The sequence below is a fragment of the Homo sapiens genome, chromosome 2 (genome assembly GCF_000001405.40).
Source record: "Homo sapiens chromosome 2, GRCh38.p14 Primary Assembly".
NCBI lineage: Eukaryota > Metazoa > Chordata > Mammalia > Primates > Hominidae > Homo > Homo sapiens.
Genome location: NC_000002.12, coordinates 203,197,917 through 203,225,697, shown reverse-complemented (window position 1 = coordinate 203,225,697; position 27,781 = coordinate 203,197,917). Strand labels below are relative to the sequence as shown.

General features: G+C 37.7%; 1 protein-coding gene across 11 annotated transcripts in view; it reads right to left on the bottom strand.

Annotated features, from left to right (window-relative positions):
* Window positions 1-503: 503 nt before the first annotated feature.
* NBEAL1 (neurobeachin like 1) overlaps window positions 504-27,781 on the bottom strand; it is a 210,587-nt gene continuing 183,309 nt past the window's right edge. For 5 of the 11 annotated variants that reach the window (XM_011511658.4, XM_006712698.5, XM_011511659.3 and 2 more), the window contains 7 exons: window positions 26,251-26,360; window positions 23,983-24,155; window positions 22,917-23,011; window positions 16,945-17,061; window positions 16,376-16,537; window positions 14,592-14,740; window positions 11,693-12,180 (listed from right to left, as the gene is read on the bottom strand). In XM_011511658.4, the coding sequence (XP_011509960.1) occupies window positions 11,904-12,180; window positions 14,592-14,740; window positions 16,376-16,537; window positions 16,945-17,061; window positions 22,917-23,011; window positions 23,983-24,155; window positions 26,251-26,360 (1,083 nt within the window). In that variant the 3' untranslated portion in view covers window positions 11,693-11,903. Of the gene's footprint in view, window positions 8,446-11,692; window positions 12,181-14,591; window positions 14,741-16,375; window positions 16,538-16,944; window positions 17,062-22,916; window positions 23,012-23,982; window positions 24,156-26,250; window positions 26,361-27,781 lie in introns of those variants that run through there. The other 6 variants (XM_047445554.1, XM_005246787.5, XM_005246788.3 and 3 more) reach the window with 2 other exon arrangements.

The following is a 27,781-nucleotide window of genomic DNA, read 5'->3' as shown; positions in this document are numbered from 1 at the left end:
TTTGAGACAGGGTATTTCTCTGTTACCCAGGTTGGAGTGCAGTGGTGTGATCTTGGCTCAGTGTAGCCTCCACCTGCTGGGCTCAAGCTAGAACTACAGGTGCATGCCACAATGCCTGGCTAATTTTTAAATTTTTTTAGAGACAGGGTCTCTTTATATTGCCCAGACTGGTCTTGAACTCCTGGGCTCAAGCTATTCTCCAGCCTTGGTCTCCCAAAGTGCTATGATTACAGGCATGAGCCACTGTGCCTAGCCTGTAACAATGTTTTTGAGGTAGCTCTAAAGTGAAAGGCAGAATATCTGTTGTTACATATGACAAAAAATAGTCAATTGACATGTATCTTGTGCACACAGGACTACAGAAGAAATTCTGCTCATATGAGAAAGAAACATTGATCAATTTTCTAATTAACAAATACTGTATTCAATCTCTTGTCTACCCAAATAACTTAGCCAAGGATAAGTTCTAATCAGACTCTATGAACTGAGAATTACAAATCAACTGAAGAAAGTAACATCACTTTTTTTATTTGATTCAAACCCATTTTCATATACAAAGCTAATTTATTATGTACAAAATAAATGGACATTCTTAAAAAGTATTAGAATACAAATTTCCAAGGGCCTAAAATAAGTGCAAAATTTTCAATTATCTTTAATCATGCTATACAGAAACAAATCAAGTATTAGCTCATATACACACAATGAATTTTTTAAAAATAGCACTTAATGTAATAAAACAAAACATACATCTTATATATTTAATTTTAAAAGGATGAGGAAGGAAAGAATGTATTGCACCAAACTAACAGTAACTTAACTACAATGAGAATAATCAAAATTATTTATACATCTTTATTAAAAATTGCTCAGCTTTAAAATGTTTTTGGGGGGCATACAAATATCCACTGAGTCACAGTTTGCACAGTCAATAATTAGATATAAATAAGGCATAATATTTTCTTTTTCATGGTCAATTCCAGTAGAATAAGTGAGAAGGAACATTTTAAGATAAATACACAACTTTCTGAATTCCTTCAATATTTAAGTAGCAGCACAATTTCCAAGTACTTTCAAAAAACAAGTCATTCTGAATTTTTAGTTATTACGCTCTGAATTGACTATGTGCATATACATGCATTCAAGTCACTGTCACTCTCTATAACACTGAAATGCTATTGGAGTCCCAGAAAAACTGACAAAAGAGATGAATTAAATATGTTTCATATTTTTATGCCTCAGTAGATTCATTTTTATAGCAATGAATCTGAGAGAAATGGCTATCTAGCCAGATATGATTACTTTTTGCTATATTTTTTGCTCCAAGTCTATAAAAGCAAACAACTGGAGGAATGAAAGCCATACCTGTTAAGAGTTTCTAAATGGAACCAACCAGCCACATAGTTTTCTAAGAAGTTTTCTTATATAAAGCTACTTATAAAATAAGCAGTTTGCCACAAAAAAAGTTTGGTGATGTTCATCAATCACAGTCTTTGAGAGCAGCAAAAAGCAGAATAGGAAAAAAACAGTTTAAAATATAAAAGATCTTTAATAGTAAGATCTACTATAACATGCCATAGTTTTGGAAGAAAAATAGAAATTATTATCATTAAATTGCTAAAAAGTCATCTAAGAAAATCAAAATTCCAAAATTCCAAAAGAATTATTCTTTCCAAAGGAAAAAATAAAGTTATCCTCTTTAATCCCTATATACAAAACAGACGCTGACAGTTTTTCAATTAAGTCTGACTACTGATATCCTACCAGAACCACTTCTTAAAGTGTTTAGTGATTAATATAACTTTCACATTCTGAAGAGTAAAACAATTATGTCGTATACAGACAAGTATCTTTTTCCTTCAAAATAAAGAGAAGCATTTATGAATTTGTAGGTTCATCCCACTAAATTGTAAAACATGTTGCTTAGTGTCAGAATATGTTACCAAAAGAAGACAACCCAAAATAGCATTTTAATGTTGACTAGTACACTGATTACCACAGAATTGCTAGTTTTAATACATCTTAAGTTGAAATATTACCAAAATAAAAATTTTAAAGGTCCAATTGGAATAGGACTTCTTTTAAAAAGTAGCTGAATTGATAAATTTTTAAAAATCCCACCTAAATCCTAATTTTTCTTCATCTTACATTACAATGCTACATTGTAACAGCATTACAAGCCGCTAATCACTCTGTACACTGAAAAATAATTATAAATTAATTTAAATAATGAGACAGCCATTACATAAGTGGAAACACAGACACACATATACCCCTCCACTAACAGTCAAGTTTGAAAAATGAATGGGTAATTTTTTAAATGACAAAATTGTGTTATTACTATTATTGTTATATTTGCAAAATATGTTTCCAAGGAAACATGAAAACCGTACCATGAAAAACAAATATTGAATTAGTAGCTTTCTATTTGTTCTTTTCCTTCTGAATTTTCAGTTCATAAGATTATGGGCATTAAGACAAAGGTAAATATTGTTGAATGTGCCCTTTTACTTATCACTAAAGCCACTGGCTTTACAGGTCCAAATCCTGCAATGTGTTTAGAAATCACTCACGTGTGACAAAGATCAATGAGATAATCACCAAACGAAGGAGATGTGTCTGATGAATTACTATAATCAAATAAGTATCTGATAATACAGCCACTATTAAATGAGATTTTTATACAGAAGAAAATCACGTAACTCCTATACTCTAGGATGGCCTTACATTTCTTAACACAGAAAACTGAATTATTTCCTATTTGGAATTAAACATCTTAAATGTTAATGCGTTCTTCTCTGTTATACCTATAAAAAATTAAAGATTATTTCCATACAGAGGCTGTACCTGCAAAAGTCATTGGAAGTAGTAGATAATTTACCCAATGCTTTTTAATTAGGAAAATTCTATTGATTACAAGCTTCAAGGCTCTAAGAGATCTACTTTTATGTTTTAAATTTAGCATGTTAGTCATGTTTTTTTCTTCTTTAAAATGTTGCCTAATTCAAGTTTGCAAAACGTTCACTGAAAGTCACCAGGAACTAATATTAGCAAACAGATGTACTTTTCTGGAGGCAAATATTAGTTATAATTTTCAAATGTGAACAGTCTAAAGAGAGTTCATGATAAAAATAACTCAATTGAAAGGAGATTTTGTTGTTTTTGTGGCAGGCAAAACAAAGATAATAAAGCCATTCCAAGCAAATTTTAGACAAAATGTCCCTCAGGATAATGATTAAGCCTATTTTCAAATAAGTCTGAATATTGGATCTGGTATATAAAGATAAATGGACAAATTTCTATGCAGAAAAATTTTTAGGATATAACATAATAATCCTCAGACATAATTTTTTAATACCAAGAATATCAAGCAAAGAGATTCATGAAGTCCAAAGCAGTGCCTACATATCTGTATATTTATAAACTCCACAGAGAAGTCTGATCTGTAATATCCATTAAGAACCACTGGCCTAGAAACTGCCAGATTTAAATTTAAAAAAATGTATTTTTGGAGACAGGGTCTAACTCTGCCACCTAGGCTGAAGTGCAGTGGTGCAATCACAGCTTACTGCAGCCTTGATCTCTAGGCTCAAGCAAACCCCTTGCCTCAGCCTCCCGAGCAGCTAGGACTACAGGCGCTTGCCAGCACACAAGGCTAATTTTTTAATGTCTTGTAGAGGTGGAGCCCACTATGCTGCCCAGGCTGGTCTTGAGCTCCTAGGCTCCAGTGATCCTCCTGCCTCAGCCTCCTAAAGTGCTGAGATTATAGGCATGAGCCACCATGCTTGGCCTAGATTTAAACTAAAGAAGGCAGGCTGTGGTCCACATTTTAAATCATATTAAAATGATGACTGATAACACTATATTGTTGCCTAAGGTCATCAAGAAAAATACCACATGACTCTGATAAATACAGGAAAACTCTATAGAACAATGCTCTGGATGGAGTCAAGTTTAAAACAAATAATATGTTGAGCATATACAATATACGAATTCAGCAAAAAGAATATTGAGAATGGATTTTGTTAAAGAGTGATGAAAATGTTTAAGATTGCTCACTTATTGGGGAGAAACAGTTTCAGCTGATGAGAGGAACAATGCGTAGGATAAGCCATGAGTATGGCTGATGATGCAAACAAACAAACAAAAAGGAAACAAACAAACATGTTTCATTTCTTATATCCCAGTCAAAAACTGTATCCTAAAGATAGGTTCAAGAACCTGTTTCCAGAAGACAGGTTTAAATATACATATTTGAAAAGACCAATCTTTACACACACATAACCCCAACAGACACCCATATTACATATATTATTTAATAATATAATATTTATATTTAATATAGTCCTAGGACTTGCATCTTTTCAGTGGAAAGGTGGTAAAGATAATGCTACTCATTTTATAAATATATAAAAGGAGCTAACTTCCTTAAGTTCAATTACAAGATTTCCTCAGTGGTCTCTTTAGTAGTAACAATATAAAATATACATAAAGGCAAAGGTCATATCTCTATCATCATTAAATAAAAATCTGGTATCCAAGTTAACAGTTTCCCCTGACCACTCCTTTTCACACAAAATATAAAATGTCTTAAGATTCAACCGTCAAATCTGAATTCTAATTCTGAGAGCCCACTTATTCTTTTCAGAAGCATAAACTTGATTTTCAATACAAGTACTCTGAAGGATAATTTTAATATGCCCTAAATAGAGAAAAAAAAGAAACCTCATTGGTGTTCCTTGCTAATGACAGAATGAACACTTGGTATTTTTTCTTCTACAAAAGGATGCACTGCACTGTGACCTAAACAAAGTTAACAGATTTTAATTTTGTTATTAACTTAATAACAGACGTGAGCTTCACAGGCTAAAAAGAAAGACTAAACCAACTTGCCAAACTTCATTTTTATATACTTTCCTGATTTTTATGCCCTGATCTATTTTTCTTTCTCTCTTACAATTTTATCTGAGTAATGCCAGAATACTGATTGCAAACAGTTGTAAAAAAATTTTATAAAGGTTCTTTATTCTCTAAGCGTGCACAGCTATTACATGTTTTAATACTTGATCTCATTTTCCAAAAGTAAAATAATTATCTTGGTATAAATCTCTTCCTATCACCAGGATGCTGAGATTTTTATTTTTGTCATCACCAGTATCAAGAAACAAAAGCATACAAAAAGTTTTGCAAAGATAACAGACTTTTTTTTTTTTTGAGATGGAGTCTTGCCCTGTTGCCCAGGCTGGAGTGCAGTGGTGCGATTTTGGCTCACTGCAACCTCTGCCTCCTGGGTTCAAGCGATTCTCCTGCCTCAGCCTCCTGAGTAGCTGGGACTACAGGCACCTGCCACCATGCCCAGCAAATTTTTGTATTTTTAGTAGAGACAGGGTTTCACCATGTTGGCCAGGCTGGTCTTGAACTCCTGACCTTGTGATCCGCCCACCTCGGCCTCCCAAAGAGCTGGGATTATAGGCGTGAGCCACCACAATTGGCCAGGTAACAGACTTTGTAAGAGCCAACTTGAGATACTATATTCACCAATTGAAATGTCCACCTGTTATTTCATTCCAATGATACTGTTCATTTCTCCCATTATATAATATATAACTAATTTCTATGGGTAACATCTAAATATACCAGAATTCTCAAAAGTACTTCTTTCCAATTATTTTATCTAGTGATTTTTAATTCAGTAGGCTATACTCTTTAAATGAGTAATATATTATTCACTAATAGTTGTTTGCTTCTTTTAACAGATAAAATTTAAGTTCCATTCTCTAGACTGTTGCTAGTATTCTCAAAGATTTTTCTCTAAATTCCATATTTTTTTTCTTTTCTTTGAGACAAAGTCTCACTCTGTTGCCCAAGCTGGAGTGCAGTAGCGTGATCTCAGGTCACTGCAACCTCCACCTCCCGGGTTTAAGTGATTCTCCTGCGCTGCTCAGCCTCTCAAGTAGCTGGGACTATAGGCATGTGCCACCATGCCCGGCTAATTTTTGTATTTTTAGTAGAGAAAGGGTTTCACTGTGTTGGCCAGGCTGGTCTTGAACTCCTGACCTTGTGATTCGCCTGCCTCAGCCTCCCAAAGTGCTGGGATTACAGGCATGAGCCACCACACCCGGCCCACATTTTTGGTTTTTACTTTTTGGAAAAAGCAATATAAGAAATAATTCCACTACCTTGTACATCTAGTATTAGTCCAGGTAGGATATCTATTTTATTGTGAACAAAACTTATTTGTACTATAAAGTAAAAACTGCTTATTTCTTCCATCTAAAAAGCAGCATAGTAAAACATCATAAACTTAGGCATTTTTTCTAATTATCTAAGTTTTAGAAAACTTATAAGCATCCAAAATAATTTTCAAATCCAGTATTAAGTAATCTTAAAAATGAAGGCATTTTTACATCAAAATCTCTGGATAAATAACAAAATAAAACTTAGTAGGTTTTGATTTAGAAAAAGTTTCTAAAAAAATCAGTATTTTAAAAACTAAAAATCAATCATGTTAGTTCTGCCGACTTGAAATCTCCTAAAAAACTGTAAGATAAAAAAAAAGATAGCCACGGTGGCACCACGGGTGAAGCACTGGATTGAAACCTCCCATCACCCCAAAAAAGAATAAAATAAATGAATAGATGCCAGTCTCATTTATGCATCATAATTATTGCTACTTAACTTGAGACTTTGTTCAATACAAATTCCTGAAGTCTTAAGAAAAGACACCTTGACATTTAAATATGTTCTATTTTACAATTGTTGTACCAGTTTATTTCAGAGTTATTTACCTAAAACATAGCTATTTTTTCCTTAATAAAACAGAGGATTTTTACTTATTGGAAAGAAAATTCTTCTATAGCTTTTTATTAGCCCTGACTCACATCAAATCAAATCTATTCAAAAGTTTCCCTAAACAGAATCCTTTATTTCTTAAAATTTTTTTACTCACTCAAAAGATTATAAAGAAAAGGGCACTGGATACTGTGGTCAACAGGAAAGCGAAATTGCAAAAGAAAAATTTCTCTAAGATTCAACTGAGAAGACAATTGGATTTAAGGACATCTATGATTTGTGGAACAAAAAAGAATACTATTACTGGAAACAGATCCCTTTAAAGAAAGCCATGTAACCATTCCTTCCTGAAAATGCATTTAACATACAAAGTCTCTGCACAATTTCAGAGGGATTCACAAGTTCTCCCAAACACATGAAATCTCAGATTAATAACACTGGTAGTTGTAAAAGCTCTCTGACCTAACTCAAAAGATAATCTTACAAAAAAATCTAAGTTTAACAATGTCTTTGAATTCCAAATTAAATAAATCAGACTTTTACTTTAAGATCTTAATAATCAACCACAACATTTAACACTATATAATAAAATTAGCTATAATCCTAAAACATGAAATAGAAATTTTTAAATTACTATATATAAATGATTATTTTAAGTTATACATATCTTTTCAATTCATTCATCAATCACACAGATATCCTAAGTAAAAATTCAACATATTTGGGTACTACTAACTCTTAATTATTAGAGTAAAACAGTATTTGCTTAGTGAAGAAAGAGTCAAGAAATTCGGAACTTTGCAAATGCAAATTGTGCTGCAAATGCTACTTAAAAGGCCCAACTGTCAAAATCACAATTAGCACTTTTGCTTAATTATATTATTAAGGAAATACATCTGTAAAATGTATCTCTAGTTCCACTTTTTTCTACTCAATTTTTATTAAGGACAGTAATAGATTTCAGTAACTTCTCATTAGAAACACGCTAAGTAGTAATAGAATTAGCTAATGTACCAGTTTCAATATTCTTATTTTATTCTTACCATGCAAACTTGTAACTTTCACCGAGTTTTGAAAATCCAAGTGTGCAACAGATACCTTTAAAATATTATCCCCAATCAGGAGTTCCATAAATAAATTGATATATTTTCATTACAGTGGTCAGTAAATAGGAAAATGATTACTTAAGAATGTATTTAAAGCCATCTCTCTCAACTGTCCCATTATCTGTACTCTTTTATTAGAAAAATCTTAAATTTTATCATTTGGAATAATAAGAAAATTGAACCTAATGTTCTCATTTTAGTTTGTTTTAAAAATGGATACAATGACCTTTAGGAATGGGCCACAAAATCAAATCAAATGTATTTTCTCAAATACATCTTAGTATAGACCAAGAATTAGTTTATATACCACAGCAAATTGTGGTTATCTGTAAATGATTTTCAGGGATAAAAGCCTTGCAACATTGCAGAGAGTTGAGAGATGTGGTTAAAGTGACAAAGCAATAAATCAGGTTTCAGTAATCATAACAGAAAATGGAAATAACAATCACTTGGAATCTTGAGTATTATATTCAGTTTCTCCAGCTGAAATCTGGCTGAGCCGCTTGCTCGATCCCCAAAATTTTCGAGAAAGCTGACCTGAACGCATCTGTGTAAAGTAATCCAAAGAAATGAAGAATAAATATTAAGAAAAAATTAAAAAAAAGATATGTAAGACACTGATTTTGCAGAGTGAAAAGAAACAAATTGTTAGCAGAATTATTAACACTTTAAAGGTTATCAATAATAGAGAAAGACGGCCAGGTGTGGTGACTCATGCCTGTAATCCCAGCACTTTGGTAGGCCGAGGCAGGTAGATCACTTGAGGCCAGGAGTTTGAGACCAGCCTGGCCAAAATGGCAAACTTCCGTCTCTACTGAAGATACAAAAATTAGCCCAACATGGTGGCGCACGCCTGTAATCCCAGCCACTTGGGAGGCTGAGGCATGAGAATTGCTTGAACCTGAGAGGCAGAGGTTGCAGTAAGCCAAGATCGTGCCACTGTCCTCCAGCCTGGGCATCATAGTGAAACTCTCTCTCTCTCATACACACACATATACACACATAATAATAACAATAATAATAATGAAAGACTTTTACACTTATTTTGTCTTTGAGAAAGCTCTAATGTCAGTGTGTACATTTAAACAATTAATGGCCTCGTTATGTCAAAGTTACCAGATTCCTTTATTTTATAAATTATCAAAAATATGTATTATTTCATCAAAATAAGCTTCTCAAAACTATTCTTTTTTAAAATTTTTAATTAATTTTTTATTTGTTTGTAGAGATGAGATCTCACTATATTGCCCAGGCTGGTGAAGTCCTGGGCTCAAGCAATCCTCCCACCTCAGCCTCCCAAAGTGCTGGGATTACAGGTGTGAGCCAACACACCTGGCTCAAAATTATTCTTAATTTTGCTAACAAGACATACAGGTTTGGAGATTTTCTTTTCTAGAATTTGCAGTACTGTTAATGCCAATCATAAGGATAAGAAGAAAGTAAAATAAAGTTTTGATGAAAAGAAAGTAATTTTAAAATATTTTAAGGCTTTCAAAAATAATATTTAACAACAGAATGATAAAAAGTAATGTAGAAAACAAGGAGAGCATAAGCCCCTTGAAGGCAGGAATTGCATTTTGTTCACCATTAAATTTGCATCACCTACCATCCTTCCCAGTGTATAATAAATATTAACCAAATAGTAATTAAATCAGTGAATGAATAAATGTCTTTTAAAAGTGTTTATACATCCAGATGGGGCAAAAATCCCCTATGGTTTGTTGCAATTACTTTCTCAAGTGCAACCTACTTTTTAATGGTGATTCCACCGTTTTTTTTTTTTTTTTTTTAGACAGGGTTTCACTCTGTTGCCCACACTGTAGTGCAGTGGTGCAACCTCAGCTCACTGCAACCTCTGCCTCCTGGGCTCAGGCAATCCTCCCACCGTAGCCTCCTAAGTAGCTGAGACTACAGGAACATACCATCATGCTTAGCTAATTTTTGTATTTTTAGTAGAGACAGGGTTTCGACATGTTGCCCAGGCTGGTCTCAAACTCCTGGCCTCAAGTACTCCACCCACCTCAGCCTCCCAAAGGGCTGAGATTACAGGAGTGAGTCACCATGCCCAGCTTGCCACCTTTTTTAATGGTCACTTTTCTTTTTTTTTTTTTTGAGATGGAGTCTCGCTCTGTTGCCAGGCTGGAAGTGCAGTGGCACGATCTTGGTTCACTGCAACCTGCGCCTCCTGGGTTCAAGCGATTCTCCTGCCTCAGCCTCCCAAGTAGCTGGGACTACAGGCATGCGCCACCACACCCAGCTAATTTGTTGTTCTTGTTGTTGTTGTTGTTTTCTGAGATGGAGTCTTGGTCTGTCACCAGACTGGAGTGCAGTGGCACAATCTCGGCTCACTGCAACCTCCACCTTCCTGGTTCAAGCAATTCTCCTGCCTCAGCCTCCACCTCCAGAGTAGCTGGGACTACAGGCACGTGCCACCAGGCCCAGCTAATTTTTTTTTGTATTTTTAGTAGAGACGAGGTTTCACCATGTTGGCCAGGATGGTCTTGATCTCTTGACCTCGTGATCCGCCCACCTCGGCCTCCCAAAGTGCTGGGACTACAGGTGTGAGCACTGCACCTGGCCCACACCCGGCTAATTTTTGTATTTTTAGTAGAGACGGGGTTTCACCATGTTGGCTGAGATGGCCTGGATGTCTTGACCTCATGATCCGCCCGCCTTGGCCTTCCAAAGTGCTGGGATTACAGGTGTGAGCCACCGCACCAGGCCTAATGGTTGCTTTTCCAGGGTATATTTATTGGAGTGATAAAAGATAAGCCTCATACAAAGTACTAGAGGCTTTGGCATGCTTCTTTTGCCAAATACATTTGCAGATGTATTTTCTGAAGCACTACTACCTTACCATCTGATTTTTACATATGATTTTCACTCTAATAGAATAATATATAAACTGGTACATGATTAAAAAATACATATTAATCAAGATTTTGATGTTTTAGATAAAAATAGATCTTGAAATAGAAATATCTTTTTGTAACTAAATATGGATCTAGTTCATATTCTAAACTGTAGTACAGAGTCTTGCTCTGTCACCCAGGCTGGAGTGCAGCAGCACGATATCCGCTCACTGCAACCTCCAATTCCCAGGTTCAAGTGATTCTTTTGCCTCAGCCTCCCGAGTAGCTGGGATTACTGGCATATGCCACCACACCCGGCTAATTTTTGTATTTTTAGTAGAGATGGGGTTTCACCACGTTGGCCAGGCTGGTCTCGAACTCCTGACCTCAAGTGATCCGCTCGTCTCGGTCCCCCAAAGTGCAGGGATTACAGGCGTGAGCCACCATGCCCAGCCATAATAACATTAATTTAATGACACTTTTTTTTTGGTAAAATAATATGCTGAAAAAAAGCATAAGGACTAAAGAAGTTTCAAATATTTATAAAACAGGTTTTTACGATCTTTAACAGGTTATTATAGCCACTGACTGTGTGACGGTAATTTCTTCCCTTGAAATAACCCCGACAGATCCCATATTGTTAGATTTCTCAGAAAATACCAACAGTGACTTAAAAAAATTTATAATGCTTAATTTAACTATGTAATAACACAAATTATTTGGAAGAATCAGTAAGTTACTGGAGTATAACTACAAAGTTTTCCTAAGAGTGAGAGTTAGATTTATGATATCTGAATATTCAATAATTGATAAATCATTAGCAAGTAAATTTAACTATAGGAAACTCACTGAGAATAAGCACACTAAATGGGGATATTTGTAGTTACAAATAAAAAATGATGCTTTTACAAAAGAACAACTGACAAATAGTTATGATGAGTATTTGTTAAAACTAAAGTAGTTTTATTGTTTGAGCCTATATTTTATTCTTTTGCAAAGGCTCTTATGTATTGAAAATCTAAGTTGTGGTCTTGAATCTAGATTTGGAAGAAATGAACTGTCTTATTCCTATAGAGTGGTAGATAGAATTGCCAAAGGTGGGCTTTCAATAATAACATAAACATGATTCTTGAATAACAGCTTTATCCTGTTTTTATTTACTGCCTTTTGAAAAATCAAATTTGGCTTTTAATTTGTTTATCCCTAATGGTGACTTCTCAATCAGTTGGAATGAAGGAGAACCAAAGTAATCCCCAACAGCATGAGAAATGAAATTACTGATGCTAGGTTTTACCTCAGCAGGCTTGCCAACACCCACTACAATCAATTTGCCATCTTCTAAACCTACAAGAATATGGCTGTATTCTTTGGTGACACAAACACAATGGATAGGCAGTCGCATGGCTAATGGGTTGATGCTGAGATTCAAGCTAGAAAAGAAATAAAAAATACAGACATAATTACACGGATTTATAATGAATTCACAGAATTTTATATCTGGAAAATAAATTAATGCTCATCTAGTTCTGCATTCTAATTTTACAGATGTGGGAACTTGTGTCCAGAAAGTCTAAGTGACTCACACAAGGGCCTGTATTTACAGCATTAGTTAAGATACTTGATAGATTTTTTTCTCTATTTTTGACATCTATTTTTCTTCTAACCATATATAATCAAACAAAATATTAATAAAGCAACCATGAAGCTAAAATATAAGAATTTTGACTTCCTAGAGAATCTTACTCTTTTTTCAATTTTCCAACCCATTCTATTATTACTTCAGTTTTTACATCTTATTATTACATTCATCATTTATCTAAGGTAAATAGTCTTTACGTTCCCTTTAGAGAGATTAGAGGGAAGGTGAGAGACAAAGTAAGGAACACAACAGTTAGACAGGATTCTATATGGATACTAACTAGATTTTTATCCTTAGTGTTCTTCCTAAAACAGATAGAAATAAAGTTCCTATACTAGTCACCGTTCTCTGAGCCTCAGACTCTCAGTGGGCATTTGTTCTAGTCTTGCTCTGATCTTATCCCTGAAATGCAGCACAGTACACACCATGTTCATTGCTGTTCCTACGTCTTTGTGCTTTATTTCCTCACATATTGCCTACCTCCATCTCCAAAAGAAGGCCCTCCCTGTCTTGTCATGTCCATTTAATTCCTACTAATCCTTCATCAAGACTCCTCTGACTACTCAGATCCGTGCTAATCCTTAATGTCTTTAAAACTCATCTTGCACATGTAACTGGAATCATATAATTTAGCTCTTAAACTGTTCACAACAGTACACAAATATTGATATTTCCCCAACTAGTCTTTTTTTTTTTTTTTTTGAGATGGAGTCTCGCTCTGTCACCCAGGCTGGAGTGCAGTGGTGCGATCTCAGTCACTGCAACCTCTGCCTCCTGAGTTCAAGTGATTCTCCTGCCTCAGGCTCCTGAGTATCTGGGGACTACAGGTGCCCGCCACCACACCCGGCTAATTTTTGTACTTTTAGTAGAGATGGGGTTTCACTATGTTGGCCAGGCTGGTCTTGAACTCCTGACCTCAAATGATCCAGCTACCTCAGCCTCCCAAAGTGCTGGGATTACAGGTGTGAGCCACCACACCCAGCTTCCAACTAGTCTTAAACCCCTTAAAAACCATTATTATGAGTAAGCATCACAGTATTGAGCACCTAGGCCCTCTCATTACATGCTTTTTGCCTTGTTGATTCATAAGTGAGTGGTGGGTAAGAAGCCCAGAAATCTCGGGCCAGGTGCAGTGGCTCATGCCTGTAATCCCAGCACTTTGGGAAGGCTGAGGTGGGTGGATCACTTGAGGTCAGAAATTTGAGACCAGCCTGGCCAACATGGTGGAACCTCATCTCTACTAAAAATACAAAAATTAGCTGGGCACGATGGCACGCACCTATATTCCCAGCTGACGTGGAGGGTGAGGCAGGAGAATCGCTTGAACCTGGAGGCAGAGGCTGCAGTGAGCCAATATCATGCCACTGCACTCCAGCCTGGGTGACAGAGCAAGACTAGGTCTCAAAAAAGAAAACAAAACAAAAACACGTATCCACTACTCCAGTATCTCTCTCCTTCACTAGATTAAATGACAACAGATCCCCATAACAATTTTATACACACACATGCTTAAATATGTTAAATATACTCTACTTTATTTTACCACAGTTAAGAAAAACTTTATAAAAATTCAAACCATCATTTGGACAAATTTCCAAATCCATAATACAGACTTGGTACTATGAACATTTTTTTCTAGCTCTACATATTTAAAACATTTCTTTTGAGACAGGGTCTTGCTGTGTTGTCCAGGCTACAGTGCAGTTGTATGATCATAGCTTACTGTAGCCTTGACCTGGGCTCAAGCAATCCTCCCACCTCAGCCTCCCAAGTAGCTGGGAACACAGGAACATGCTACCATGCTCAGCTAATTTTTAAAGTTTTTATTTTTAGTAGAGATGAGGTCTTGCTATGTGCCCAGGTTGGTCTTAAACTCCTGGGCTCAAGCATTCCTCCCTCTTTGACCTCCCAAAGTGCTGGGATTACAGGCAGGAGTGACTATGTCCAGCCTAAAAAATTTTTTAATTGCGGTAAAATATATATAATGTAAAATTTTCTACATATTAAAAAATGTATATATATATTTCCTTTATGAATCTAGGAATACTTTAGCTCCTCCAATTTTTTATACTTGCTAAAAGAGAAACTTTTATAATCAATGATAAACCAAAAGATTAAAAATCTTAGATTCCTGATTTTCACTCTAGACTAGAAGTACTGCCCCTTTTCTTAAGTGATACTTCATTAGTTTTTATTATTTACCTGTGGAGATCTCTTATAGACAGGAATCCTTGTATGCTGCCTGTGACAATGTGTTCTCCGATTATACATATATCTGATACTTGTTCCTTCAGGATTTGAGACCCTAGATACTTGCCATTTATAGAAAACAGATGTAATGCATTCTTATCCTGAAAAGAATTAAGGAAAATTCAACAATTTCAAATAAAAACTGAGTTTTTATATAACCAGTTAAAACTCTGACTATAACAGAATAATTATTTGGCTTAACATTTTAGGATAAAAATATGGCTATATTTAAAGACCAAGTGTGTAGACAATATTATTAAAGTGATTTCAAATCAGATTGCCAAGTAAATATTAAACGAGAAATCTCACTCTCTCCAAAGAAGAATTAAAATCTCATTCAGCCCTCCCCAAAACTCTACATTCTTAAAACAAAAGAAAAAAATTCTTTTTCTTTTGAGATGGAGCCTCGTTCTGTCACCCAGGCTGGAGTGCAGTGGCACAATCTTGGCTCACTGAAAGCTCTGCCTCCCAGGTTCACACCATTCTCCTGCCTCAGCCTCCCAAGTAGCTGGGACTACAGGTGCCCAACACCACGCCCAGCTAATCTTTTTTTGCATTTTTAGTAGAGACGGGGTTTCACTGTGTTAGTTAGGATGGTCTCGATCTCCTGACCTTGTGATCCGCCCACCTCGGCCTCCCAAAGTGCTGGCATTACAGGCGTGAGCCACTGCGCCCAGACTTTTTTTTTTTTTTTTTGAGGCCATGTCTCGCTCTATTGTCCAGGCTGGAGTGCAGTGGCATAATCTTGGCTCACTGCAACGTCTGCCTCCTGGGTTCAAGCAATTCTCCTGTCTCAGCCTCCCTAGTAGCTGGGACTACAGGCATGCACCACCATGCCCGGCTAATTTTTGTATTTTTAGTAGAGATGGGGTTTCACCATGTTGGCCAGGCTGGTCTGGAACTCCTGACCTCAGGTGATCCACCCACCTCAGCCTCCCAAAGTGCTGGGATTACAGGAGTGAGCCACCACTCGCGGCCCCCCAAAACTCTTAATATTGAAAAAGCTTAGGCTGGGCATGGTGGCTCATGTCTGTAATCCCAGTGCTTTGGGAGTCCAAAGCAGGAGGATCGCTTGAGCCCAGGGGTTTGAGACCAGCCTAGGCAACGTAGGGAGACCTCGTCTCTAACAAAAATTAAAAAAAACTAGCCAGGTGTGGTGGCACATGCCAGTAGTCCCAGCTACTGAGGGGGCTGAGGCAGAAGTATCACATAAGCCCAGGAGTTTGAGGCCAAAGTGAGCTATAATTGTATCACTGATTGCGCCACTGCACTCCAGCTTGGACAACAGAGTGAGACTGTCTCAGAAAAAAATACACACACACACACACACACACACACACACACATATTAATTAAATAAATAGTGATGTCACTGACAGGAAACAAACATAAAATTGAGGGCTTGTTTATTTATACCCTGCCTTATGCAAAAGGAATTTCAGTTGGCTATCATTTCCAGTTTCCACTTAAGCTTAAAAAATCCTACATAAGCAGAAATTATTTTGAAATCATATATTACACAAGTCAATAGAAATCTCAATAATAAAATACTAATGTGAGGCTACGATTGTGGTAGAAGGCCATCTAATGTTAAGAAACGAACAACTGAATGATGAAAGAAAAACATCATCTTTAAAATATGGTGTTCTTTCCTTCTTCAATAAACCTCATCTATAATGTGGGGAGGGAAAGATATGCTATTGGGAGTCTACCTCTATTGCATGAAAGGTCATATACCTTGAGGGTGGTCTTTTCTTCAGTGCTGGAGTAGACAACAATATGTCCTTCCCAAGATATAGCCAAATTAGGAATGGTCAGGAACAGAGAACTCTCACAAGGTGGTCGTAAAGTCCTCATGTACTGACCTTTCTGAATGGTATGTATAATCACCGTTCCATCCTACACACAGGATATATCAGAAAATGAAAAAGACAAAGGAAAAGAACAGCAAAAAAGAATAAAAGTAGAGTGGGCCAGATAAAGAAATGTGGGAAAGGAACCAAGAAAATGATTATTCCATCAAGGATACATGCACCTTAGGAAAAATTCCAACTTCGAAATTTCAAATAGTATTTTATTTCCTAGAATGTCCTCTTCCCTTAAATAATAAAACGAATAAAATCCCAAAATGGCATTCAGTGATTTCTTTATTTTGCAAAGTCTATTCTACTTTTGCAAAGTCCTATACAAGTATGGTATAACATTTCTATACTCTTATCAATTCCTCTGAAAAACTTTTTAGTTATAAGTGTTGGTAATAAATTTGTAGACAAAATAAATAGTATTTCTTAAAGGTGAAATCTTACCCTTGATCCTGACACTGCCATGTCTAGCTCAGTGCTGATGCCGACACTCAGTACCTCGTTGGTGTGTCCATAAAGAATCTGAAAAGGTTTAGATGCTAAGCCCACAGGAACACCTCCCTAATAATACAAGAGAAAAGCAAAGGTAAAGGTGGTTTCTTGTTTCCTGTTTTTCACAAGGTTTATATTGCATTTAAACCTTCTAATCACAAACTAACATTGCAACTAGTTACAACCACTGAGTCTATTCATAATAGTACTCATTCTTACATTTCTACTTGGATTTCTGAATTATTCTCCATCTCAAAAACTTAACTAAGCTCAAAACCTTAACATAAATTTTTGCAATGTTGACAGTCTTGGGTTAATTTTTCCAAGTATGTTATTTCCCCTTTTAATCTACAGATTTATTATTCCTTAACTTCAAATAAACTTTTTGTGTTATATTTCTGAATAACCTTATTTTTTTGAGACAGGGTCTCTCATTCTGTTGCCCAGGCTGGAGTGCGGTGGCATGAACATGGCTCACTGTAGCCTCGACCTCCTGGACTCACGTAATCCTCCCACCTTAGCCTCCCTGAGTAGCTGGGACCACAGGCATGTACCACCATGCCTGGCTAATTTTTAACATTTTTTTGTAGAGATGAGGGTCTTGCCATGTTGCCCAGGCTGGTCTTGAACTCTGGGACTCAGGTAATCCTTCCGCCTCAGCCTTCCAAAGTGCTGGGATTATAGGTATTGGCCACCATGTCCGGCTGAATAATTTTTCCATTTATTGGGATCGCTGCTTCAGGGACATCAATTATCTTTATGCTGACTGTCTTTGATTTTTAGTTATCATTCTTTCTCTAACTGCTTTAAAGTCACCTTTTTATTGGCATTCACTTTGATTACATCTTTTTTTCCAGGCCACTAATTTGATTTGCAGCCACATCAAATCTCTTTCTTGTAGTTTCTTTGCAGAGGACCCTGCGGCCTTCCGCAGTGTTTGTGTCCCTGGGTACTTGAGATTAGGGAGTGGTGATGACTCTTAACGAGCATGCTGCCTTCAAGCATCTGTTTAACAAAGCACATCTTGCACCGCCCTTAATCCATTTAACCCTGAGTGGACACAGCGCATGTTTCAGAGAGCACAGGGTTGGGGGTAAGGTCACAGATCAACAGGATCCCAAGGCAGAAGAATTTTTCTTAGTACAGAACAAAATGAAAAGTCTCCCATGTCTACCTCTTTCTAACACAGACACGGCAACCATCCGATTTCTCAATCTTTTCCCCACCTTTCCCCCCTTTCTATTCCACAAAACCGCCATTGTCATCATGGCCCGTTCTCAATGAGCTGTTGGGCACACCTCCCAGACGGGGTGGTGGCCGGGCAGAGGGGCTCCTCACTTCCCAGTAGGGGCGGCCGGGCAGAGGCGCCCCTCACCTCCCGGAGGGGGCGGCTGGCCGGGCGGGGGGCTGACCCCCCCACCTCCCTCCTGGACGGGGTGGCTGCCGGGCGGAGATGCTCTTCACTTCCCAGATGGGGTGGCTGCCAGGCGGAGGGGCTCCTCACTTCTCAGACGGGGCGGCTGCCGGGCGGAGGGGCTCCTCACTTCTCAGACAGGGCGGTTGCCAGGCAGAGGGTCTCCTCACTTCTCAGACGGGGCGGCCGGGCAGAGACGCTCCTCACATCCCGGACGGGGCGACAGGGCAGAGGCGCTCCCCACATCTCAGATGATGGGCGGCCGGACAGAGACGCTCCTCACTTCCTAGATGGGATGGCGGCCGGGAAGAGGCGCTCCTCACTTCCTAGTTGGGATGGCGGCCGGGCAGAGACGCTCCTCACTTTCCAGACTGGGCAGCCAGGCAGAAGGGCTCCTCACATCCTAGATGATGGGCGGCCAGGCAGAGACCCTCCTCACTTCCCAGACGGGGTGGCGGCCGGGCAGAGGCTGCAATCTCGGCACTTTGGGAGGCCAAGGCAGGCTGCTGGGAGGTGGATGTTGTACCGAGCCGAGATCATGCCACTGCACTCCAGCCTGGGCACCATTGAGCACTGAGTGAAGGAGACTCCGTCTGCAATCCCGGCACCTCGGGAGGCCGAGGCTGGCGGATCACTCGCGGTCAGGAGCTGGAGACCAGCCCGGCCAACACAGCGAAACCCCGTGTTCTCCACCCAAAAAATACGAAAACCAGTCAGGCGTGGCGGCGCGCGCCTGCAATTGCAGGCACTCGGCAGGCTGAGGCAGGAGAATCAGGCAGGGAGGTTGCAGTGAGCTGAGATGGCAGCAGTACAGTCCAGCTTTGGCTCGGCATCAGAGGAAGACGGTGGAAAGAGGGGAGAGGGAGAGAGGGAGAGGGAAAGGGACAGAGGGAGAGAGGGAGAGGGAGAGGGAGAGACATGCTTTCTTTCTTGTAGTTTCTGCTTCAGGTTTATTTGTGTTTGTAATGGTATTTTTAAATATGTCTTGGCTGCAGCCCTTTGAAAAAACATTTGTGGTACACAGTAGGTATATATATTTATGGAGTATGTAATGGTACTGGTTTTAATCTCAACTTGATTCTTCTGCAACCTTCGTTTTCTTCTTATAATGCTATTTTATCATTTCATGTTTGATCTTCCATTTTATTGAACTGCCATTCTTATGTTTTCCTAATAACACAATTGTATTGCAAAAAATTGCTCTCTGAGTCATCTTCCAGAAGACTCTTTCTTCATGTCTTTAGCGTGCTTTGTCTTTAGCATACACATAGTTGTATGTTATTTGTTTTATTTGAATAGTTGCTATTTGTATTTGTGATTATCCTAGACAACTCTGCCCACACCTTCCACCTGTTCCATGTGGTGTGCATTAATTCCCCTTGACACTCTGCTACCTGTGACAAATTTGTCTTTCCCTGTGAGTATCAGTCTGAGTGCGTAGTGCACTATATTTAACTTTTAAAACTCAGGTAATTCCTATATTATGGAAGCAATTCCAAGTCAAGAGAAAGAGGAGCCCTTCCTAAATTTATTTGGTAAAGATTGCATATCCCCATACTAAACATGATAAAGACAGAACAAAAAGATCTATCTTACTTAAGAGTAGAGAAATCATTAAAGTACTAGCTAATAAGATACATCAGTAAAGTGTAATAACAATATACCATAAACTATGTGGGTTTATTATAAAAATTCAAGGATGGTGCAAACCTAGGAAAGTTCTCAACATAATACATTACATCAAGAAAAAGAGAAAAATTACAAATAAGATAAACTGGGAAAAACAGCTGTAAAGAACATTATTGGAAATACAAAATTAGAACATGGACTGTGGATTAGCTAATGGTATTGTATAAATGTTAAGCATTCTGATTTTGGTAACTTCACTGGGTTTATGTACAAGATTGTCTTTGTTCTCAGAAAATACACACTGACCTATTTAGGGGTAAAGGAACATGATATCTCAAACTTTTAAATGGTTAAAAAAAATAAGATGCTGTAAGAGGGAGATACTAAAAGAGACTGCTAAGACACATGATACAAAATATACTATTTTTGCAAATTTTTTACAAGTTTGAAATTTCATTAAAACTATAAAGTTACCAAAAGAAAAAAATAATAGAAGTAAGCTAAATACTTAAATGTGAAAAACACAACTAGTGAAACCTAACAGCAAACACTATACTAAATGGTAACATTGGGAAGACATTTTCATCAAAATTAGATATAAGGCGGGGATGCTCACTATAATTTTGCTTACCTTATTGTATTAGCTAATAATATAAGAAAATGAAATAATTAGTATATTAGAAAAGATAAAGCAAATTACTTTTATTTTCAGATCACATGATTGTATTATCTACCTTATTTTCAGAAAATCCAAGAAATACTAATAACCATGAGAGTTGATAAGAGGATTTGGCAAAGTAATTCGATATAATTGTACAGAAATCAGTCAAATCACTATATAGCTTTTCTTTATATTAACAATAATCAGACACAAAAATGATTTTTAAAACCCCACTAAAAATAGTAATAAAAAACATGATAATTTGAAGTAAGTATCACAAGGTATCAGATCTAAATGAAAAAGAAAGAAATTTTATCAAAGGACATAAAAAGGACCTGAAACAAACATGAAAAGACACTTCCTATTTCTGTAAATAAATAACTATAAAAATATGCCAAATTATTGGGAGGCCAAGGTGGGCAGAACGCTTGAGCCTAGGAGTTCGAGACCAGCCTGGGTAACATGGCAGAGACAATCATTTTCTCTCTACTAAAAACACAAAAACTAGCCAGGCGTGGTGGTGCATGCCTGGAGTCCCAGCTACTTGGGAGGTTGAGAAGCAAGGATTGCTTGAGCCTGGGAGGTCAAGGCTGCAGTGAGCCATGATTGTGCCACTGCCACTGCACTCCAGCATGGACGACAGACTGAGACCCTGCCTCAAAAAAAAAAAAAAAAAACCAAAAAACCCCCAAACCAAATTAACATATAAATTAAATACAATTTCAGTAAGACTAAAATGGAGTTGTTTTTTTTTTTTAAAAAAAAGAGGGTATGGGGCCGGGTGCGGTGGCTCACACCTGTAATCCCAGCACTTTGGGAGGCCAAGGCAGGCAGATCACGAGGTCAAGAGTTCGAGACCGTCCTGGAGAAGATGGTGAAACCCCGTCTCTACTAAAAATACAAAAATTAGTTGGGCATGGTGGCACGCGCTTGTAGTCCCAGCTACTCAGGAGACTGAGGCAGGAGAATCACTTGAACCCAGGAGGTGGAGGTTGCAGTGAGCCAAGCTTGCGCCACTGCACTCTAGCTGGGCTCAGGACAGAGCAAGACTCCATCTCAAAAAAACAAAAAATAACAAAAAAAACACAAAAAACAAAAGAGGGTATGGCTAAAACATAAGTTCATATGTAAGAATAAATACCTATATAAGACTATCTGAGAACATTACACTTTAAGTGTAATGCTTCCTATTCAGAAGTAAACAAAGCCTTATCCAATGTAGATAAATAAATTACCAAGAAATTAAAGATTGTAATATAAGAAAACAAAAAAAATTAGAAGAAAACAATTTTTTTTGAGATAGGATCTTGCTCAGTCACCCGGGCTGGAGTGCAGTGGCAGAATCTCAGCTCATTGCAGCCTCTGCTTCCCTGGCTCAAGCAATCCTTCCACCTCAGCCTCCCACCAGGACCACAAGCATGTCCCACGCTCAGCTGGGTTTTTTAAATGGAAGAAAATTTCTAGATACTTTTTATAAATTTGGAGTGGGAGAAAGCCTGTTAAGACAATGCAGAAAACACAGAAGCTGACCGGGCACAGTGGCTCATACCTATAATCCCAGCACTTTGGGAGGCCAAGGCAGGTGGATCACTGAAGGTCAGGAGTTCAAGACCAGCCTGGCCAACATGGCGAAACCCCATTTCTGCTAAAAATACAAAAATACAAAAAATACAAAAAATACAATAAAAAAAAAATAGCCAGGCATGGTGGCACGTGCCTGTAATCCCAGTTACATGGGAGGCTGAGGCAGGAGAATCGCTTGAACCCGGGAGGCGGAGGTTGCAGTGAGCCGAGATCATGCCATCTCAAAAAAAAAAGAAAAGAAAACAGAAGCTATTCAATAAAAATGATACTTCCTGGACCAATATTATTATGAGAATGCAATCAGGTTGATGAAAACTATAAATCTATCATTTCTAGTAGTCCCACAAGAAAGAAAGCAGAAATGTTACTATGCTAAAAGACAATAAAATAATTCCCGTTTTCCTAGGAAAGGTAAGAAGGAAGAATCTTTGGAAAGCAATAGGGAATAAGGTAATGAATCAGACAGTAAACCTAGGAAAAAATGTGGTGATTTGAACAGGACAAAATGTGGGTAAAAAGAATACAAAGGAGCTCAGTCACTGCCAGAAAACAATTCGATGTCCTAGTAGAACATTTTGCTAGTATTCTCAGGGTGAATCTCTGACCTAATTCAAGAACATTTAAATGTGTGACTACCTGTTGTGTTATTTGCCATATCATACATGTAGTATCTCTGGAACCAGAAATCAAATGTATTCCACAGTAATCTGTAGCTAAGCAAGTCACAATATCTGTAAGAAAAGGAATTAAATAAAATGAGATGCCTCGTTTTGCTAAAATAGAACTTTAAGAGCAATTTTTGTTAATGTTCAAACTATTCCTAAATCAGTTATGCCAACAGGGAGGAATGTAGACATGGTACTGGAAAAGCATTGGGGAAGAGAGACACAGGAAAGCAGCAGTGTCAAAATCACCTCGGAGAGCTTTCTTTGAAATCCCCCTTCTCTGAGCATGAGAAGTCGACATGCAGTGTGGGGAATGACTACCACAATCTTGGGAGGAGGTTAGATAGTTTGAGATAGATCCCCAGTTAATTTTCATATGCTACTTTGCTTTCTCATCCCCATTCACCTTCTACTCCCATTGGGAATTGTAATCCTATAGAATATATGTCCTTAGAAAAACTGCACATACTATACTATAAATTCACAATACAAATATATTTTTCCTAAACTGCAGACGTAAGTGTTATCTTAGGATTGACTGGTACAGAATTAGCAGCAGACTCCATTTTCCTTCCCTAACAGGTTTATTAGAAAAAAACCTACTCAATGTTTTATTCTTATATTGAAGACTAATACACTAAGAAGTAGCAAGTTAAAACTACATTCAACAATTTCATCACTCTCATGTTTAACTGTTAACAAAGTAATAGAGCAGTTGATGTCTTATCTAATGACAGCAGATTTTATTACCATTTTGTCTTAAAATTCTTACTTTTATCATTCATTAAAAAAAAACAACTTAGCCTAACATTTTCCAGATACTATGAAGATGTATTTAATTTATGTGGTGCTTTATTATACCCAAAATACATGAGACACTCCTATAGAAAGTATATATTTATAATCCTACACAATAAAAAAGTTCACTCAGCTTCAAAGGTAAAATTTAATGCTCTTTACAAAGAGCACGTACTACTTTTATACTTAAGAAAAAAAGAAAATTTTTGAGCATTTTTGGAAAAAAAGCTAATGCTTACCCATATGCCGGATGATGTGTGAGATAATTTTGCCTTTTGTAAGTGACATCACTTGAATGCTATTATCCCAGTATCCAGCACTGAAGAGCAACTTTGCATCATGTGATACTACAAATAGCTTAGAAGTGATCTCTAGCCCGGGAGCAAAAGAACCATTTATACTGCGCTGAGTTCTGTAAACACAATTAAATATCAGACTTTTCCTTACAAGATCACGTATACTGATGTGAACTATTCTTTTTAAACCTCTCTAAAAAAGAAATAAAAAATTAGTCCCAAATGTCCTATTTGAAATGTCTATTAATAAACGATAGACTTTCAGAAAACATGTTATCTCACTGTAATATTTTTCATAAATTAAGAATATACATAACAATCTCAAGTGGTAAACAAAAAAAGGTGAAATCAGTGAAGGTGTGAAGAAAGCTTAAATCTTGGATTTCAAAGACAATTTAATAAAATTGGCAATTTTGTAAATGACAGCCTTAAAGTTTAAAGACAAGACAGGATATGCCAGGACCAGGAATATCAGAAATAAACTTAAACCAGGGATGTCCTACACAAGGTGATGCATAGGAGATAAATCAGGCAGATAAGTGTGTATCTAACAACACTTATGATGACTGTTCTCCATTTGAACCAAAGCAAGCATGCTGGTTTTATCAGCTTCCAAGTGCAATACCTGTGAGCTTAGCCAATCCAGATTCTGCAGAAAGACAAGTGATTGCAACTCAGTGTGTATATAGAAAATGAGGGCTAATTCTCATACTCTAGCTATAAAACTTTATTGTTCAATATTAATTTGCTGAGAATATGCTTCTTGCAAAACATAACAGTACTATGTGGGATAAGAAAGGAAAAAAAACATTTTCCTTAATCTCATGAAGTTGTATTCTAGTTGAGGAAGACAAAGATACAGTGATAACAATTATATCATTTTAAATAGTTTTCAAATATATGGTGTAATTTGATCCTCAACATGGAGTGTGATTTTTGAATTTTATTTTAATTTTAGTTTTTTTGAGGTGGAGTCTTGCTCTGTCGTCCAGGCTGAAGTGCAGTGGCGCAATCTCGGCTCACTGCAACCTCTGTCTCCTGGGTTCAAGCGATTCTCCTGCCTCAGCCCCCCGAGTAGCTTGGATTACAGGTTCCCACTACCATGCCTGGCTAATTTTTGTATTTTTATTTTTATTTTATTTTTTTGAGTTGGAGTCTTGCTCTGTTGCCCAGGCTGGAGTGCAGTGGCGTTATCTCGGCTCACTGCAAGCTCTGCCTCCCAGGTTCACACCATTCTCCTGCCTCAGCCTCCCTAGTAGCTGGGACTACAGGCGCCTGCCACCATGCCTGGCTAATTTTTTTGTATTTTTAGTAGAGATGGGGTTTCACTGTGTTAGCCAAGATGGTCTCGATCTCCTGACCTCGTGATCCGCCTGCCTCTGCCTCCCAAAGTGCTGGGATTACAGGTGTGAGCCACCACACCCGGCCAATTTTTGTATTTTTAGTAGAGACGGGGTTTTGCCATGTTGGCCAGGCTGGTCTTGAACTTCTGACCTCAGGTGGTCCGCCTGCCTCAGCTTCCCAAGTTTTGGGATTACAGGCGTGAGCCATTGTGCCCAGCCATGAATGTGATTTAACTAGAAAAAAATATAAGCAAACAAACAGGACAATTCAGTGTAAGGGAAACACCACTTTAAGTGAGAACATAACTTTTGGAGATTAAAATACATAGGTCTTATTTTTACATAATAAAGTAGAATAAAATTACAAGGAAGTCTATTATTCCTAATGTAATTGTATTTCTATAACTCATATTATGGAAACTAAGTTTTGTATTTAAACCAATATAAATTCAGGACATAACTTAAAAATAAGGGAAGGTTGGGGAGGGAATGGAGGGAGGAAGGAGGGAAGAAGAGATAATCTGGATCTCAAAACATTACTTTCAGGGCCAGGCGGCCTATAATCCCAGCACTTGGGGAGGCTGAGGTGGGCGGATCACTTGAGGTCAAGGGTTTGAGACCAGCCTGGCCAACATGGTGAAACTCAATTTCTACTAACAACAAAAATTAGCCAGATAATCCCTTGAGCTCGGGAGGCAGAGGTTTCAGTGAGTGGGGATTGCGCCACTGCACCGCAGAGCAAGACTCTGTCTCAAAAAAAAAAAAAAAAAATATTTCTTTCAGAATAAATGAATCAATTAATCTAGTTTTTTTCCTGGCAATAAGGTATCTGGTATAGCTATTTTGCTTTACATATTCATTTACTTACTTTGGATTTGTCACAGTTTGATCCTTGATGAATGTAAAGTAATTAGAAATGTTTCTGTCATAAGGCAACCATCCATGGGTTCCAATAACATAATTCATGCTTATTGTTATCTGGAAAAGAACATATGAAGACTCAAATTAAATGAAATATTAAGGAAAGCAGCCCAGAATAACCAGATGCTCACATGACATTGGCATTTATCACTTAGGGAACACTGTGAGACTGTGTACTTCAAACCTGAAACTCATTAAGCACATCTTAAGATAACTCAAACAGAAAAAGCTCTTTTTTTATCTTTTATTTTTGGAGCCAGGGTTTCACTCTGTTGCCCAGGCTGGAGCACAGTGACATGATCTCAGCTCATTGCAACCTTCAGGCATGCGCCACCATGCCTGGCTAATTTTTGTATTCTTTGTATTTTTTGTAGAGACATGGTTTCACCATGTTGCCCAAGCTAGTCTCCAACTCCCGGGCTTAAGTGAGCCTCCCACCTCGGCCTCCCAAAGCATTAGGATGACAGGCGTGAGTCACCACACCTGGCCTTGTTTATCTTATTGTAAGAAAACTTGTCCAATTTTTTTTTTTTTTTTTGAGATAGAGTCTTGCTCTGTCACCCAGGCTGGAGTGCAGTGGCATGATCTCAGCTCACTACAACCTCCCGGGCGCAAGCAATCCTCTGACCTCAGCCTCTTGAGTAGCTGGGACCACAAGCATGCACCACCATGCCTGGCTAATTTTTTGTATTTTTAGTGGAGATGGGGTTTTGCCATGTTGCCCAGGCTGGTCTCGAACTCCTAAGCTCAAGAAATCCACCCACAGCCTCCCAAGTTCTGGGATTACAGGTGTGAGCCACTGCGCTCAGCCCAATTTATCTTTCTTTAGGAAGATTATTTTTTCTCATGATTTCTCAAAGTTTATTAGCACTTATCAGCTGGCAGATGGAAGAAATTCAGGGACCAGTCTTACCATAAAAATATAATATATATCATTTAGAACATAAACCAGAAGGATAATTTACAATGAATGCAATGAACTGTTAAGGTCTGCCTGTAGTGACAGTCATAGTAAGTTCTCCTCTCTTCAAAATGAAAAGCTTTTATCTTCTTGATTATAAAAGTTAACAAGCAACCCCCGACAAACGAAATTCTGGTAACTTTAAAAAACGCAGGCACTTTGTGAGGCTCAGGTGGGAGGATCACTTGAGCTCAGGAGTTTGAGACCAACCTGGGCAACATGGCAAAACCTGATCTCTACAAAAAATACAAAAATTAGCTGGCCATGGTGGTGTGTATCTGTAGTCCCAGCTACTCAGGAGGCCGAGGTGGAAGGGTCACCTGAGCCCAGGAGGTCAAGGCTGCAGTGAGCTGTGATTGGCTCTCCAGCCTGGGTGACAGAGTGAGACTCTGTCTCAAAAAAAAAAAAAAAAAGAAAAGAAAAAAAAATATATATATAAGGATTGAAATTCACAAGATTGCCACTGCTCAAAAAGTACTACTACTATTTTTGTGTATCTTTTTATTTATTTATTTAT